The sequence below is a fragment of the Homo sapiens genome, chromosome 5 (genome assembly GCF_000001405.40).
Source record: "Homo sapiens chromosome 5, GRCh38.p14 Primary Assembly".
NCBI lineage: Eukaryota > Metazoa > Chordata > Mammalia > Primates > Hominidae > Homo > Homo sapiens.
This window is the reverse complement of record NC_000005.10, coordinates 57,417,258-57,433,631: the sequence shown is the minus strand read 5'-3', so window position 1 is coordinate 57,433,631 and position 16,374 is coordinate 57,417,258. Positions and strand designations below refer to the sequence as shown.

At 42.0% G+C, this 16,374-nt stretch overlaps 1 long non-coding RNA gene and 1 pseudogene across 1 annotated transcript in view, besides 1 other annotated feature; both read right to left on the bottom strand.

Moving 5' to 3' along the window:
* The window catches only part of RMEL3 (enriched in melanoma 3), a 140,307-nt gene that overhangs the window by 101,782 nt on the left and 22,151 nt on the right, over nt 1-16,374 (bottom strand). The gene's annotated exons all lie outside the window — the stretch shown is intronic.
* SALL4P1 (spalt like transcription factor 4 pseudogene 1) lies at nt 9,369-11,251 on the bottom strand (annotated as a pseudogene).
* Nucleotides 11,927-12,096: an enhancer, noted in NCBI's record as "experimental_86414 CRE fragment used in MPRA reporter constructs". NCBI's record gives its function as "activates a minimal promoter by MPRAs in K562 erythroleukemia cells, with activity observed for the introgressed 5:56717448 variant allele {active_cell/tissue: K562}" and the evidence as "EXISTENCE:reporter gene assay evidence [ECO:0000049][PMID:34662402]".

Below are 16,374 nucleotides of genomic sequence, written 5' to 3'. Positions count from 1 at the left end.
TGTTTTATGCGTTCATTTGAATTTCCCAACTGAATTATAGCTGCTTAATTCAGGTTTTTTCCATTTAAATGTTGGTCTTATAATACATTTCCATACAAAACAATCTGGTCTCTTTATGGGAGCATTTTGGTGGCCAAACATAGAAAAATAAAAAGTTTTTAAGTTCAAAGAATTGGTAGTTTTTGTTTCTACAAAAGAGAAAGAGAAAGATGGAGAAATTAGATAGGGTTCAGGTAGGACTAAATACCTAGATGTGAAGACTAAAAGTATGAACTGATTCTTAAAATTTTAAGTAGAGAATAGTTAAGATTGAAAAGAAATAATGAGTTTTCTTCAAATATAAGGAGGGCCTCATTTCTAATAGAATATCAGTGATATTTCTATTCAGTTAAGGACCAAATATATGTCTCAGTGCTTTGGCAATGTCAAGAACAGAGAAGGTTTTCAATGAATATATGCCAAATGAGAGCATTTTTTAAGTGCCCTAAATTAAACCATAAGGAACTGAAGTTATATATGAAGAATAATTCCCTGAATGGAATGGCAAAGCTACCACAGGGTGGCGTGAATCTCTGGGACATACTACGGTGTCCAGGTACCTCACTGGGCAGTTAAGTATTAGGCTGTATTCTTAACTCCTTAAGAATGGTTTGCTTGCAGTTCTTCCTAAAGATAAAACATTTCTAGACAACCTTCCCAGACCATTCATTTCTGGGATTCCATAAAGAATCTGAAATTGAAGGTGAAGGAGATTAGGGAAAGTGAAGCAATTGAGCCAAAAGGATATTCTTCCCATAGAGAATGCTTTGGTTCATAAACCTACCTTTTTAGGTGAGTTGGGATGCTTTGAACAAATTTTTTTAAAAGTGCCTTCAAAATTCAAAATTCAGTAGCATTGTGAGGCTTGGTATAAGGCCCCATTTGCTTCACTGGACAGAGAAAGGACTGTAAGTCTTCTGTATTTAACCTTCTTCTCTACGATATACCTCAGCTAGCTATCAGATGCACTTATTGAGTCTCTACTATGTGTAAATTACTTGCATATTATTCTCAAAATAACTCTGCAGAATTCATAAATGCAGGTAATTTACTTCAGAATATCTAGGTATTAACTAGCAGAATCTGGATTTATATCCAAATATGCCTGGTTCATGGTTCATGTTAAGCACCTCTTCATTAGTATGGCTATTTCTATATGACAAGAAAATCAAAGAAGATGGTTTGCTATCACTTCTTCCTGCTCCTTCCACATGAAAGGAGAAAACTGTACTTCAAGTGATTCCCTCGGTCTGTGGGTGATTGAGTCAGCCCTCTGTAAGCTGGACTGTGATCTCAATGGCCAGTATTGCAAAGCCCCACACACCACTGACACAAAGAGTTAAGAGGGCCTCCTCCCTCTGGCAACAACAGTCCAGACCAGTCCCAAATAAAGGGTCATCGCCTCCTAATCTGGTCATTTTGCTCCACAAAGTGTTTACTTCTGGCCCCATGGATAGCCAACGTTTCTATTGGAGCCTTCATAGGATGACCTCACAATTGTGTTTGCTAAGTCTGGATGTATTTGCCGCCTGATATTCCACCTTTGTCCATATGCCTGGAGGCTTCAGCAGTAGGAGGAATTTACAAATCTAATAAATAATTATATGCAATATTTACTGAGGCCCATTCCTATTACGTCAGGTCCCATTAAAATCTAGAGGGAAAAAGTGCTGATTCTTTTCCAAGAGCACTACATCACATGCTATAAAGTATTTCCTTATTAGGCAAAACAGACAAATGGATTTCGGCTTTTTAAAGACCCTTTCCCCTGATTCAAATAAAGCCCTCCTGATATAAAAACTCTTCGAAGATCTCTTTACCTCTTGTCGGTTATGAGTGCCTCTCCTGTTGTAGGTTTGAGCCAAGGCTAATAAGGCTGAAATACCAAAGGAAAACCCTTTTTAGTGGAGTACATCATCTTTCCAATTACAATTGGGAAACTCACATTTGAACACTTGCTTTTGAGACTTTTCTGCCTGATTTCACAAGATGAACGTCCATGCTTGTCCCTAGATTGGCTTTTGTTTCCGAAGTGACTTTTATTCCATTCAAAATATACCTGCTGTGCCCCTCCTTTTGTCTGTTTTCATAATGAGAAGTTGCTTAAGAAAATGTGAAAACAAATTATTGTCTAATAATATCTTGTACAGTGCTTTCTGAAGTTTACCGAGCATTTTCACAAACATTACCTTATTTAATTTTTGTATTATCTTTGCAAAAACTCAGTGAGGTAAATAACATTATAATGATTTTCCAGATAAGAAAATTGAGGCTCAAATAATTCTAATTCTGTGCCCAAGATCATACAACACTCTCAAGAGTCAAATCTAGTTAGTGATAGAAACTGCCAATTGTCCCCTCATATGTCCTCTCCCTTTCTTCTTTTAATAACAGAATACTCAACTTTTAGCTGGGCACATGGTCACCCAGGAAAAAAGACTACATTTCCCAGTCCCTATTATGGGTAGGTGTGACTATATCATCGAGTTTTATCCAATAACATTCTAAAGAAAGAAGCATATGCAGCCTCCAGGAAAGGCCTTTGGGAGGTACCATGCCCTTCTTTACCCCTTTTCTTCTTACGACTAGCTAGAATGTGGACTTGATGGCAGGAGCAGGAACAGCCATCTTGGACTACGAGGAACCCATGGAGGTCCTGCCTGGCAGAGCAACAAGGTAGAAGGAGCTTGGGATCTGCTGTGATATAAAGTAACCATACCACCTGGACCACCTACATGCTGGCATTAAAGTGAGAAAGAAATACAAGAGAGAAATTAAAGAGAAAATAGCTACCTTGTTTAAACTGCAATTATTTTAATTTTACTAATGTCAACAATTGAACCTCACTTTAACTGATAGTAAGACTCAACTGATAAATAATTTAAATCCTTCTCTACAAGATGATGGAGATAAATGACTGAAGAGAAGTGATCTGACTAGACTATATGGCTTTTTTGCAAATGACTTAGAGCACCAGCTGATATGGGAAAACCAGGTGACTTCTGAGGGGTTTGACACAACCACTTGACCAATTAATTTATACGGAAACTCATTTTTCTATCTTTGTCCTCTTGGGTGGAAAAGCAACAATATTAACATCCAACCTCTTAAATGTTAACCTTCACCAACTGGCAATCCCAGTGTAAAGAAATCGTGGAGGTGGTCGGGCACCATGGCTCACGCCTGTAAGCCCAGCACTTTGCGGGGGTCAAAGCGAAAAGATTGTTTGAGCCCGGGAGTTGGAGAGCATCCTGGGCAACACAGTGAGACCTCGTTTCTGTAAAAAAATTTAAAAAATAAAAGAAAGAAAACATGGAGGTGAGAGTTTCATCTCTGATGTGATGCCTTGGAGGATGTGCTGTCTTCCAAACACCAAAAGCCTAGTTCTGATACTAAATCATGCATGAAAGACCACAGCTGAACCTCAAGACACTGAGTGGTCCTGCCATGCATCAGTGCAGCCCAGTGAGGGGCTTCCATTGCCTTCTGTCCCTAGTCTGGGCTGGGGGTCGGCCTGCCAAATCCCAGCAGGCACTGATGGAGACAAGGAGAACAAGACCACCTCAACAGGCCAGAACTAGAGAACATGTCCCCAAAAAGCCAAATTCCAAGGCACAGCCTGCTCTGAGACCAGGCCACCGTGCCAAAGAGCTGGAGGGAATTTGGCAAAGAACTGAGAACTCCAGATGGGAAGCATGAGAGGGGAGCAGACACTTCTCCACACTTGTCAAAACCCTCTAAATCACAGGCCATAGCAGCATGCATAACCACCTTCCCACAAAGGCTGAAGCACGCTTCTGAAGGTGGGCACTTAGACAGGGCTATAAGCCCTGATCACGACCCAGCTACCCAAAGCCCCTCTTTGGTCAGGTGGGGAGTCGAGGGCTTAGAGAGGGTGAAGGACTTGTCTATAGTCATGCAGATTGTTAGAGGAAGTGCTGGGACCACCAGGGCTCAGCCCTACGCCCACTCCACCCCTCCCCCTGCCTAGCCCTCCATCTCATACTCCACTCCTCAGCTTCAGAGTGGTAAAGCTTTTGAAGTGATTGCCTAAACTCACTCCTGCGTCACTTCATCCAATACAATTCAAATGAAAAAAAAAAGGTACATGCATGTGTATGTTCATCGCAGCTCTATTCACAATAACAAAGACATGGAATCAACCCAAATGCCAATCAACGATAGACTGGATAAAGAAAATGTGGTACATACACTATGCAGCCATAAGAAGGAATGAGATCATGTCCTTTGCAGGGACATGGATAGAGCTGGAAGCCATTATCCTCAGCAAACTAACACAGGAACAGAAAACCAAACACCACATGTTCTCACTTAGAAATAGGAGCTGAACAATGAGAACACATGGACACAGGGAGGGGAACATCACACACTGGGGCCTTTTGGGGGGTGGGGAGAGGGAGAGCATCAGAATAAATAGCTAATGCATGTAGGGCTTAATACCTTGGTGATGGGTTGACAGGTGCAGCAAACCACCATGGCACATGTTTACCTATGTAACAAACCTGCACGTCCTGCACATGTATCCCTAAACTTAAAATTAAACTAAATTAAATTGTATAAAAAAGAAAAAAGGTGAGTGAGGCTCACATTGCTTTACCTGGAGCGTTCTTCCCTGTGCCTGGCACTCCTCTCTCCATGCAGCCCCTCCTGTCTGGGAGTTTAGTCATGTTCTTTCCCCGGAAGCCATTCTGATTTCTCAGAGTGTGCTAAATGCATCTTCTCTGTGCTCCCACAGATGTTGTGTCTGTCACAATCTCAAATTTGATCCTGTTATATTAAGATGATCTGTTTGCTTAAGTATCTTCCCCATTAAGATTTAAACTCGCCAGGTGCAGTGGCTCACGCCTGTAATCCCAGCACTTTGGCAGGCAAGGCAGGTGGAACACCTAAGGTCAGCAGTTTGAGACCAACCTGACCAACATGGTAAAAGCCCGTCTCTATTAAAAATACTAAATTATCCAGGAGTGATGGTACATGCCTGCAATCCAAGCTACTTGGGAGGCTGAGGCATGAGAATCACTTGAACCTGGGAGGCAGAAGTTGTGGTGAGCCAAGATCGCGCCATCACAGTCCAGCCTGGGCAACAAGAATGAAACTCCATCTCAAAAAAAAGATTTAAACTCTACGAGGGCAAAAACTCTTAGTTATTCATCTCTGACCCCAACAATCTGTTCTATCTACGTCTTTCACTCATATCATCTAATTCAATTCTCATAACATCCTTATTGTCCCAATTCCACAAATGAGAAGACTGAGGCACAAAAAGGCTCCAGACCTTGCCTAAATTACACAACTAAGCTATCCAAGCAGCAGAGATGGGGTTTAAACCCAAGCAGTGGAACTCCTGAGAGTTTGTAATCACTTTGCTGTACCATTTCTTCTCCATCAGATTAAATGTTTCATGCTCATATTTCAATTAAAAGCCCACGGAGACTTTGTGGAGGGACTTCATAAATGGAAAAAAAGAGTTTCTTTGTCATAGCATTTCCAGACCTAAAATGCAAGCCTGCCATAACAGATGTTGTCCATGTCCTGCCCACAACCCTGGGATCATTCACTGTGCTCAAGTGACTCCCCGGTGCCAGTATCTATATTTCCTGCTCCAGTGATTTATTTTCTGCTGCCCCTGTGCAGCAGGCCAAAGTACCAGGGAGTTAGCACCTTCTGGGAGCAGCCCTCAACCGATGGCTCTAGGGCATTGGTGTGTAAATGTCCTGCCTCCCTCATCCCTCAGCTGGGATCATCCTGAGGTGTGGGTTTGCACTGTTCCCCACAGTCACCCCAGGATGAGCTCCAGTTGCCCACTATGGTAGCTGGCTTGGTAGCGCACCTACCTTAGCTGCCTTCCCTCCCTGCATCGTTCTCTACTTCCCTGGTGGTATTTCCATATTTCCCAAATTAGCTGGGGTTTTTTGTTTTTTGTTTTTGGTGATCAATTACCATTTGCTGAGTGTATATGGATGATATGATGTAAACTGAGAAATGTGAGTTATCAGAAACTAAAGGGCTGACGGACAGTTTCAACACCCACTTTACATGTTTTTATGAGGACTAACTAATGAAAATATATCCTGGCTACACAGCCCTTGTGGGGAGTTTGAAGCATGGTTTGGGTCATCTGGACTGTCAATTTTAGCCCTTTAGTGTCAGATAACTGAGATTTCTCAGTTTACATCATGTCGCCTATATACATTCAGTAGATAGTGACTGATCACTGTTCTCACACTGCTAATGAGGACATACCCAAAACTGGGTAATTTATAAAGGAAAGAGGTTTAATTGACTCACAGTTCCACATAGCTGGGGGGGCCTCACAATCATGGCAGAAGGTGAATGAGGAGCAAAGTCACGTCTTACATGGAGGCAGGCAAGAGAGTGTGTGCAAAGGAACTCCCCTTTATAAAACCATCAGATCTTGTGAGATTTATTCACTATCAGGAGAACAGCATGGGAAAGACCTGCCCACCCCCATGATTCAGTTACCTCCCACCAGGTCCCTCCCACAACTTGTGGGAATTATGGAAGCTATAATTCAAGATGAGATTTGGGTGGGGACACAGCCAAACCATATTAATTACCAAGATGTATGGGCTGGGATAGCACAGCACAGGGAGGCATTAGGCAGTCTTATAGTTTCACAGGTACAAGAGCCTTTTTAGATATCTGCAGGTAAAGGGCTAACCATTTTTATTTCTACTTGAGAATTTGACTTTTGGTTAACTTTCTCCCTCTGTCCCCTAACTAACCTTATAAAAATGATGTCAACTCTGTTGTCTGGCACATTACTGATAATAATAATGACTCTTTATTGGTAACTTGCATCTGGACTGGGCAGAACTATAAATGAACCATAAACCCCTGATGGGAGTTGTTATAAGAGGTATTGGCTGTTGTGGGGCAGGAGTCTTCTAAATCAGGGCCACAGAGAATGGCTCCTGAACAATTGTGTGGATAGTGGTAAAGACTGCTGCAAGGACTCCCACAGCAGAGGAGCACCTGACACTGTCCTCTGACATTCTAAAGTTCTTGTCCTATAGTATTTCAAGTAGACTGGGGCCAAGGGGGCCTGTGGTCATGATGTGAGTCTAAATATTTCATTGAACCTAAGAAGAAGGTGCCCTAGTAGGCACCACAGTATCCATGCACAAACTCTTCATCTAATTCACAAAATACTATATCTTATAAAGGCTACATGTGTGTTTTCAACATTTAGGAAAGATAATTAAATAACTGTATACTTTCTCCTGTACTTGTCCCTTCACCACAACACCTATGCTTAAAAAAAAAATTAGTCGTTATTAATGATGAATCATTTTTACCTTATACTGAGGCCCTTCCTGTCTATGCAGTCTACCCTCCCTCCCTCCATCAGCATCTGCTACCTACTAGATATCATCAGTCACACTGCTTTTCACACCATTTGTCCCTCTGGTCCACTTTAAATTCAAACAAAGTTGGCTTTCTTTCTAGCCAGATACTATGATCATTTCTCACACCTTATTTCTAACTCTTCCTTTGTTCTCTCATCAAAATCTAGACTCTTTATGACCATGTTCTTAACTATTTGGTTCTCTTCCCACTCATTTTCTTTTCTGGGGAGAAAAAAATTCAAAATTCATTTACCAACAGACAGCATCAGCAGGTACAACTACAGGGGTTTCTCCACAGATTATACATTCACAAGACATTATTAGCTCAACATTGAGAAAGCCACTGGTGTGTTTTCTGTAACAATATCCACTTCACAGTGTGAATAGGTACTATTGTTGTATTCACTTACAATTCCAGAAGGAAAGGCACAACTTGCCCAAAAAAAGCAGGGGTGGAGGGAATCCTAAAGTGAAGTGCAACAACAAAAAGACAATACTTTGGCCAATAGTCTTGGATCCACATTTCAGTCAGGGCCTTCCACATAGAGGGAAAAACTTTTCTCCCAGAAGTTAGTCTTTCTTTCTTTCTCCTTTCTTGTTAAACCAAGAGCAATGTTTCATTTGCTCAATATTACATGCACAAAAGGAGATTGCAAAAAAAAAGACATCACAAAACCATCTTGAACGTTCAGCGCTTCCCACCAATACATCAACTCTTAGGTTTTAGACAGGGCCTGGGAATATTTTAGTGGTCTTAAACTAGGAAAACAGACCCTATGTCTATGATAACTAAAAAATAAATGAGGTAGATCAATTAAAGCTTTCACACCCAGGACTTGCCTGTTCCAGCTTCATAGCCTTCATGAAATATTCTGCAAGAAAACCAAAAAATCTCCATAATTATTTGGCATAAGTCATAGAAGGAAATTCAACAAAAAAAAATTAATATGTGAACCTGTGATAGGAAAAATGCCCTTCCATGAGTTTCTTCTCAAGAATGAAAACCCAGTTCTTCAATAAAGTAGGCACTGGCAAACTAAATTAAGTCATCTGAGATTCCCCGCTCAGGTGCCCACCTCTTCTGGAGTTCAGGAAGAGGAAGTCATCTAAGAAGTGTGAGGAGGACGTCGACACTCTCGGGGCTCCAATTGAACTGTATTTAAATAAGCAGCAACACACGTATTGATTCCCTAAGGACTAGCATAAGTCCATTTGAAGGCATCCTACTTAAAGTTCTAAGGCTGAAGCAATTTTTCAATTTTACAACCTTAGTTTTTTGTATTTTTTTTATTATTACATTCAAAAAAACAAACAATAAGATGAGGACAGGGTTGGGGCATATAAAACAGGTCCCTAAATAGATGACAGACCTGCATACAGTTACCATAGAAGTATACAGTACCCCTCTCCCCTCAGTTAGGCTATGTATTTGTCTTTTCCACTGTTGTTCAGTAAGTTCCAATGGTTCTACCTTGAAATAGGTAACAGTCTTTGGAAAAAGTCATTCTAGGTTGTACAAAGGCTCTATATATACAGTTTGTCACAAGAAACAAAGCTTCTTTCCAAAATTTAAAAAAATTAGTGTGTATTTGTTTTGGTATTTTTTTTATTTTTCAATTTTTTGCAAAGCAATATAACAACAATTGTGATTGTAGAACTTGCCTGAGGTTGTGATCACAACCATCGTAAACATCATTTGCGTATCAGTAAGAAAAACAAAACAGGAGGGGATGAGTTCTTACAAAAAAAAGCGGATTCTAGAGATTTCACTCCATCTGCATTTCTCCTTTCGTGCAAGTTCTTCTTTAGCTTAGCTGACTGCAATCTTGTTTTCTTCCAGGAAGTGAGGAAACTGGTTTTGGGAATGCTGTCAGTAGCACATGGTTTTTCCACATCTGCACTGATACCTGATTGGGAGCCATCCATCTTGGAGTAGGTGAATCTGCTACTGCAGCATCACGGCATTGGCGAACTTCTTCTGGCAGATGGGGCAAGAATGCTGCGTCTTAATGGACGTGTTGGTTCAGTGAACCCCAAGGTGTGTCTTCAGGTTACCTTTGGTAGAAATGACTTGGCCACAGATCTCACACTGGTATGATCTCTCCCCTTTGTGGATGCAGTAATGCATCTTGAGGGAGCTCTGGCAGCTTAAGACTTGGTCGCAAATGAGACATTCGTTGGGGTCGGTGGTCCCATTCCCTTGGAAGCCACCAGTCCTTTGGGAATTATGTTTGGTCCCACCCCAGGATGTATAGGTCCACCCTCACTTTCTGGAGAAGGCCCAGGCTGCAAGTTGCTTGGCCGGGGGCCACCCTTGATGTCCTTGGGGTTAGTCACCAAAGAAGGATTCTCAGGTAGCTTTACCAAGGGGGTTACAAGGACAGGTTTGCTGTCTAGAGAGAGACTTGATTCATCTACAGGGAGGGGTACAGAGAGTGCATAGGGGATGCCATTGCCTGTGGCCACTTTGTCCTGGAGCTCGGCCAACAGCTGGGGGTTTGCCTTCACCTAGGGATGTCAGCAAAAGTGCACCTTGAGGTCGTTCTTGGTGGTGAAACGATGACCACAGACAGAGCACACGAAGGGTCTCTCTCCAGTGTGGGAGCGGAAGTGGATCTGCTAGGAGCTATCAGTCCCGAAAACCTTGCTACAGCACTTACACTTGTGCTTGTAGAGGACGGCATCATCTTTCGATTTGACATCCACCACGGAGATGTCCGGTGGCTTCCCTTCCCTTCCCTTGGTTGGGTCTAGCGCCACAGTGGAGAAAGGGCTCTGGAAGAGCAGCGAGCCCGGGGCCTGAGGATGTAAAGCACTGGGGAGGCAGAACATGACGTTTGGGAGCAGCCGGGTCCCATCCGGCTTTGGAACAAAGGGCGTCAGCCCTGGGGACAGGGAGCTGGTGGCAGAAGGGATGCCGGCGTGAGGTAGCTTGGCTTGTTTCAAGGCGTCCAGAGACAGACCTTGGCTTCCAGCTTTCTGGCTGAGCAAAACCACAGCTGCAGAAAGCTGCTGGGACATGTGGCTGCCCAAGGTCTTCAGGGTGTCGGCCCCGCCCCGCTGGAGTGCAGGCGCGAGAGGCTAATGTGTTCACCGGGATGCGGATCTGCTTGGTGAGCTGGGTCTGCTGTAGCTGCTTCTGCTGCTACAGACACAGTATCGGCTCGAGGATGCTGTTGGCGCCAGGCACAGGGGCAGGCAGGGCATCTGCGCTCCGCCGATTCACAGCCACCTTGGTGCCCCATAGTGCCTGCAAGGACACGTTAGTGTTGGCCACTTTGCCTTTGGGTAAATATCTTATCTACTCGGGGGTGGGTGACAGGGCCGTCTCTGTCTTTAGATACGGCCAGCTTCTCCTTCATGTCCCCTGAGCTGCTCCCATTCTCCCTGTGGCCATCCTCACTGCTTGGACTGGGTGGCTGGTGGCTCAGTACAGCTTCAGAGATGTCTTCTGAAGGCACTGGACCCTCGCCATCATTCATGATGAAGACGGGTGGATTTTTAGTGCAATTTTTCTTACGTTCCAAGAACTCAGAGATGCTAAAGAACTTTTCTCATAGACTTGAGTTTTCTCATAGACTTGCGTTTTCTCCCACCGAGCACCAAGCTCCCCCGCCGCCGACACCGCGGGGGCCACATCTACAAACTCCGGGGGGGTCGGCTGCTGCGGCTGCTGCTCGCCCTGGTCCTCCTCCGAAATGATGTGCTGGGATTTCGCGTGCTTGGGCCTCGACATGGTGCGAGCAACCAGGCGCCAGGAGAGCCGCAGTTATTTGCTCTCTCTGCCACAAATTCCAGAGTTGGGAAATTTACCCACCTTCCCAGCTCATTTTCATTCTGACTTATGTGGACACTCCCTCTATCCCCAGAAGAATACTTTTCTGTACTGCCAAAAATATACTGTGATTTGAGAATCTTTCTTTAACAAAATTCAAGTGCTTATTAGCTTTCCATCATTGTACAAATCTTCCTGTCTATGGCTACCTTACCGACTCCAAGCTCCCGCCGCAAATCAAAAGTATAAGTATTAGAAAAGTAAACCTATAAATATGACAAAGATGTAAAATGGCCAGTTTTGTCATAGGCCAGTTCTTAACATTGAAAATCCTTCTGCCAGTGTATTTTATTTTCTGCTATTCTCTTACATTTGTTTTTCACGAGGACCCATAAGAATACAGAAGAAGAAAACTTAGATCCAAAGGACTCTCAACCAACAGTGGTGTTGGGACACTATTTAGTTTTTTCTACAGCTGGAAAAGGAGAGCTCATGTGGATTTTCACAGCTTCCTTAAAAATGCAGGACTATGACTCCAAGCTCTCAAAATATCTGGAGGGAGAGCTGTGAGCATACTGGAGAATTCACTGAGAAATCTGGGCTCAAAGGAGAACAAATTATCATTCCCTAAAAAGAATAGGAGTGGGCATCTGGGCACTGGTAGCTTTCTTTCTAAGAAAGAAATTGTTCTGCTTTTTGAGTAAGGCAAGACAGAGCCATAGGTGAAACTCTATACATACCACTAGGAATGAATTAAACATTTATATCAGATATGCTATATAGCGCATCTCTATAAATATATTTATTGATTATCCTAAATCATATTATTTTAAACAGTCAAGGGTTTTAGTTAACAAAGATAAGTTTTTTTTATTCTACATAGAATAAAAGACTAGAATTCCTTCTTAGGTAGTATCCCATTCCCACGTGCCTTACAAGTTGGATCTTGGAAACCATGATGCTCTTACCACTCCTTTGCTGGTGCTGGAGACAATTGCAAGTGCAGCTACTGAAAGGAAAATTTTAACTGTGAAGCATCAAAGTTGCCTGGATCTTCACAGCTCTGAAGCAGAATCTATTGTTGTTTTGTTTTTGCTTTGTTTGTTCTGTTTGACAACATTTAGACAAAGTTTAAGAAGACAAAAAAGTAGACAAAAGACAAAGACTAACAAAGGAAATCCAGAAAGACCATCCAAAACAAAGACTCTCTAGTTCCAAGTCTTTTTTATTTCTATATAAACTCGAGGCATTCAGTCACTAGTCTTTTATACTTGTGTCTTCTTGACTTGAAATAAAATGTGTCATGCTAAGAATCCAATTACTTGACCAGAGACAAAATTTCATTAGTCACCAAAGAGCGATAAAATACTGCTATGTTCAAGGAGGTTCAAACATGTTGTCATCATTGCAAACTCAGCAACAGTCTAGACTATGTAACCTCTTGTTATCAGAAATCAGTCAGGGAAACTCCTGGAAGAAATAAATCCCTCATATGGCTTCAGTCCCACCTCACCTCTCAACACCATCATGCTCTCCACTGCAATCATGAGTTTTATTTCAGTTCTTCAAATACCGCAAGACTTCTCTTATGTCCAGGTCTTTGAATATGCAGTTGCTTCTGGATATAATATTCTTCTACTTATCACTTTATTCATTCCTCTTTCAGATCTCATATCAGTATCACTTCCCTTAGGGAGCCCTGCCTGGGTCCCTCTCACAGCATATCACCTAGCAGAGCACTACTGCATTAATAATTCATCACTTAATGTGTACAGGCCTTGCTAGACTCTGCATTTCATGGAAGAAGGGGCTGTCTCTATTACCACTCTATCCCTGAAACATAATACAATTCCTGAAACTCAGGGTCACTCATAAAGATTTATTGAATAAATAAATTGACAGAACACTTAGATGTGCAACTAAGACATAATATAACATCAAATTAATATAGGACAATTCTATATGGGCTGGTGGGGTCAAGAGTCAGCTAGTGACCACAAGCACAAAAACAGCTAAATTTCCACAAGTCCAAAAGCAAGGAAACTCTTTAGCCCTTGATGTCAAAAACCAAATATCAATTTGGAAAATTGTGCCACTAAATCAACCAAGAAAGTTGTTTAAAATGCAAGAAATGATCAACTATAACTCAATTTAAGGAAACTCCAAGAAGTTGTGTGTGAAGCATTTTGGTTTGTTCTTGGTTCACTTTCTTTCTTTTTTTTTTTGAAACTGAGTCTCACTCTGTCACCCAGGCTGGCTGGAGTGCAGTGGCGTGATCTCGACTCACTGCAACCTCCAACTCCAGGTTCAAGCAATTCTCCTGCCTCAGCCTCCCGAGTAGCTGGGATTACAGGCATGCGCCACCACGCCCAGCTAATTGTTTTGCATTTTTAGTAGAGACGGGTTTCACCATGTTGGCCAGATGGTCTCCATCTCTTGGCCTCATGATCTGCCCACCTCAGCCTCCCAAAGTGCTGGGATTACAGGTGTGAACCTCCACGCCCTACCTCTTGGTTCATTTTCAAAACACCATGTGGGAGTCTTGGCATATTGAAGCAAACATGATAGATTAAAAGTAGAAAAGGTGCATAAATATTAGATCAGAAAATAAAGGCAAGCAAGTCAAGCCTTTGGAAAAGCAATTTTCAGAAGGGCTAGAAGAGGACTCTAAGTGTTCAAAAGTGGCCTAAAAGTGACCTGGAACAGGAATAAAATAAAATAAAGGCAGCTTACTTTATTGATCATTCAGTACATGCTTTGCAAGGTGATAAACATTTTGTAAGCATTGCCTCTTTAGTCCTCAGAACCCCCTTGCAATAAGGTAGGCGCCATTGTACTCTCACTTTATAAGCAAGGTAACTGAGGTTCTAAATGGTTAAGTAATTTTCCTAAGCTTATATAGATAGCTTGAAAACCCATATTCAAATCCATATTTCTTAAACTCATTGCACTGCAAATTACCCAAATCTAAAATTCCTGCATCCCATTTCTTCTAAATCCAAATCAACATCTGCCCACTCAGTGACACTTACAACCAACCTGCATTGCTTTCCCAAGTGTTCTGGTGAAAACACTCAGGAAGAGTCAGTTCTCCAGAGCAGCCACAGAGCATTCCATAAAGAAACACAAAGAAGAGCTCCAAAATTTGGTGAGCCAGCTCTGTGGGCATAGCCTCCTGTTGAGGCTCAGAATGAGAATGCATTAGTAAAATATTTAGTTTTTTTTTAATTCTGCACACATGTCATTGTGTGTGAGTGTGCTTCTATGTGTGCTTGTGTACATATATATGAGCCTAAATGCTCTGGAAGAATTCACACCAAACTCTAACAGTGGTGATTAATGGGAATGGGTATAGAATTAGAAGCAGGAATTAAGAAGAAATGTTTCTTTTTAGGCTTCATACTTCTATCATACTCATGATTTTTACTAGGCAATTAAGGCATATTTTAATTTTCTTAAAAGGCATCTAGCTCATGTTTCTGCTGGATAAGAGAATAATCTTATATTAATTGCAGCTATGACAGGTAGCTCTCTCCTCTTACCCACCTGCCGTGCTGCACAGCCTCCTGATACTTTTCCAGGGGATACTCCCTTCCTTATTGCTGCTGGAGCAATTTCAGCCTATTGTATTTTTTCCTTTCTTCATGTACTAACTTCTTCGATCATAGCCACTAAGACCCCATTTAATTTGGCTGCAATAAACATATTCTTAACTGCTCCCAGAATACTTCAGGGCACTATGATCTCTTTGGCCACAAAAATTTGACTCTAACTAGGGCTCAAAGATATTCTCCCTTCAAATAAGTGGCCCATACCAGTGATAGCAATGGGTTCTATCTAGTCCATTAAATTTCATGTCAACTCACCTGTAGGATTAAACCTGAAATTATCTTTAATTTGTCTGTCTTTCTCGTTTCCTAAATATCCAGATTCTGCTTCCCCACATTATCATTTTATTAAGTACACAATTGACACATGAATATGCTCTTTATGAAAGAGGAAAACCACACAGAAGTATATCAAAAAGTAAGACCCTCCCTTGACTTTTTCTCTAATTGCAAAGTTTGTCACTAAAAATTGTTTGTGTGCATCCTTCCAAATATATTCCAATGTGTTTGTAACATCATTGCATAATATTGTTTTGTGACTTGCTTTTTTCATTCCTCCATTCCAAATATATTTCAGGTCCTTTCAAGTCAGCATATTTGGCTCTGCTTAATTTCTTTTCATGGTTTCATGGTATTTGTGGTGTGACCGTATCCTAATTAATTTAAGCTCTACCGTACTGATGGAAATCTGGAACATTTCCACATTTAAACTCTTACAAACAAGGCTGCAATGAACACCCTAATACATAGCTCTACATACACATTTTTAGTTTTTCTCCAGAATAGTTCTTAAAAACAAAATTCTTATTTATTGTCAATTTTGATAAATATACCAAATTGCCACCTAAAAATGTGCCACTATTGTTTCATTCTCTAGCTTTATGGATATTTTTATATCTGAAGTAAGAAGATAACCCAAGAGTTCCTGCATTCCTTGTGGAGTATTCTTCCTTTTCAAAATTACCTTAGCGCAATTCTCATTCAGTCAACTTTATGATCAGGCTTTCAAGTTCCACTAAATTTTTCTGTAAAGCAAGAAAAGAATGAAGAACTGAAGTTCTTGCTTCCTTGGGCTTGCACTCACTGTGTGTTCCACCCTGTAAGAGAAGCAGCCAGCACCCTGGAACAGCAGACCTCTGACCTGGTGGGCACCACGGTCGGGAGGGCCAGCTTCATCCCCTTTACCTAATGTCACACTCAGGGCAGCCTGGACAAAGGGCTCTCTGGATCCCACCTTGCCTGTGGACTTCAGGTGAGAGTGGCATCAAGGTTCTCAAGGAGTAAGACAGAGTGGGCTATGACGTCAGCCTGTCCCTATCGTCTATGCGAGCCTAGGGAAGTCACAGGCCCCTCCCTCATTGGTTGGTAATATGAGTTTCGCTACTGTAACTGCAGAGGCTTGCTATAAGGACTAGAGATAGTGTCTGAAGGGTCTAGCAGAGTACCTGGAGCAGGTTAAGTGTACAGTGGTTCAAAAAAGACAGGGGGACTTGTTTTCACTCATTTTCCATCAACCCCTTTAGGAACCTAGAATCCAGTGATTTCTCCTCTCCACTCCTCA